Source organism: Homo sapiens, chromosome 8 (assembly GCF_000001405.40).
Source record: "Homo sapiens chromosome 8, GRCh38.p14 Primary Assembly".
Taxonomy (NCBI): Eukaryota; Metazoa; Chordata; class Mammalia; order Primates; family Hominidae; genus Homo; species Homo sapiens.
The window spans coordinates 113,980,083-113,982,152 of NC_000008.11; the positions used below are offsets into that span (position 1 = coordinate 113,980,083).

The 2,070-nt window shown below is 47.7% G+C and overlaps 1 annotated feature.

Annotated features, from left to right (window-relative positions):
* Nucleotides 530-1,246: an enhancer, noted in NCBI's record as "OCT4-NANOG-H3K4me1 hESC enhancer chr8:114992841-114993557 (GRCh37/hg19 assembly coordinates)". NCBI's record gives its function as "activates a minimal SCP1, AML or CMV promoter by ChIP-STARR-seq in naive and primed H9 embryonic stem cells {active_cell/tissue: H9 hESC(naive and primed)}" and the evidence as "EXISTENCE:reporter gene assay evidence [ECO:0000049][PMID:30033119]".

Consider the following 2,070-nt stretch of genomic DNA (forward strand, 5'->3'; position numbering starts at 1 on the left):
TGGACCTTTGATATTCTAGCTGCAGGCGACCCCACATCCCCATGGGCGTTTGAGCTGGCAGGGGGATTTTCCCAGAAATTAAATGGAAATGGAGCTGTAGGAAGCATGGAGCCAGGAAACTTTTAGTATGGGATAGCTCTGGCGGAGCCTAGCTATAAGTGCCCACCCCCGCCTCTTCAGGGCTGCCCATCTCCCTCTGAGAGGTTCTGGCCCCAACTAGTCACTGTGCTTGCCTCCTTGCAGGACTGGGGAATGCCTGTCCTGCAGGCCCCCCTATCCATCAGTCCCATTCCGGGCTTCTGCCTGGCCACCCGCAGGAGAATGTACACAGTGCAGCCTCTACTGCTAACGTGGGCGCTTCGTTTCTACAGAGTGCATTCCATTAGCCTAGAAGTGTTTGGGGTCACCCAGTGCACCTGGAACCCCACCCTGAGGGCCTGGAGGAAATAGCCATGAGCAGATCTTGGAGCTTGAGGGCTGTAGCCTGTGGTTCAGGAGTGCCATGACAGGATCTGTGCCTGGCTCTCGATGCGGGGAAGAGCAGACACTCTTACAAAATGAGAGGGTTAAGTGGCACAGGTCCATGGGTTGGTATGGGACCTGGGCGTACCTCCCTCCACAGGGTTTGTCCAGTAAGTGTGTGACTCATCTTCTTACTGGACCTCTCCCCAGGACAGCCCTCTGGTCAGAAAGACCTAACAACAACAACAACTTTGGGGGCACAATGCCAGTGTTTAAAGATGGCTCCCCCAAAACCCAGGAGTGGGAGTATTGAGGGGATCACGTCTCTCCCGGTCACAGGGCAGTATATAGCTACAAAAGTGAGAATACACAAAAAGCCATGGCTGAGCAAGAGCTTATTTACTGCCCATTGCTTTCAAGTGCCATCTGCGGGATAGCAGCCTAAACTACAACACCAAAAAGCACTCATTCTCACCCCTGTGTAGGCAAGGGTAAGAATTCAATAACAAAGACCCTGTACATAGCCTTAGCCCTCTAAAAATTTCCAAAACAAAGCCACCTGACTAAACTCAATTTACACCACAGTTAAAGGAATACCAAACCTCCCAGATGAGAAAGAATCAGGGCAAGAACTCTGGAAATTCAAAAAGCCAGTGTCCCCTTACCTCCAAAAAAGCGCACTAGCTCCCCAGCAATGATCTATAACCAGTCTGAAATGTCTTAAATGGCAGACATGGAATTCAGAATCTGGATAACAAGAATCCTCATCAAGATCCAGGAGAAAATAGAAAGTCAATCCAAGGAAGCCAAGCAGTCCAGTAAAGTGAGTCAAGAGCTGAAAAAGGAAAAAGCCATTTTAAGAAAGGCTCAAACTGAACTTTTTGAGCTGAAAAATTTACTATAAGAATGTTGTAATACAGCCAGGCATGGTGGCTCATGCCTGTAATCCCAGCATTTTGGGAGGCTGAGGAGGGTGGATCACCTGAGGTCAGGAGTTCGAGACCATCCTGGCCAACATGGTGAAACCCCATCTCTACTAAAAATACAAAAGTTAGCCGGGCATGGTGGTGGGCACTTGTAATCTCAGCTATTTGGGAGGCTGAGGCAGGAGAATTGCTTGAACCCAGGGGGCAGATGTTGCTGTGAGCCGAGATCGAGCCACTGAACTCCAGCCTGGGCGACAGAGGGAGACTCTGTCTAAAAGAAATAATTAAAAATAAAAATAAAAAGAATGTTGTAATACAATTGGAAGTATCAACAGCCAAACAGACTAAGATGAAGAAAGAAATTCAGAGCTCAAAGACCAGTTCTTTAAATCAACTCAATATTTTTTTAATTAGAGAAACGAACGAAACCTACAAGAGATATTAATGTGGTGTCATTGTCTGGGGTAAATACCTGGGGCTTGTTGTCTCGCACCAAGAAGATTAAAGACACGAACACGCATGAGGAGTGGGTTTAGGAGAGGAGGTTTAATAGGCAAAAGAAAGAGAAAGGAGAATTCAGCTGTCTCCCTTGTGAGAGAGAGGGGCTTCCAAAAGGAAAACCCAGCCCATGGCAGACTGCATTAGAATTTATAGGCAGGCTTCAGGAGGTGGTGTCTGATTT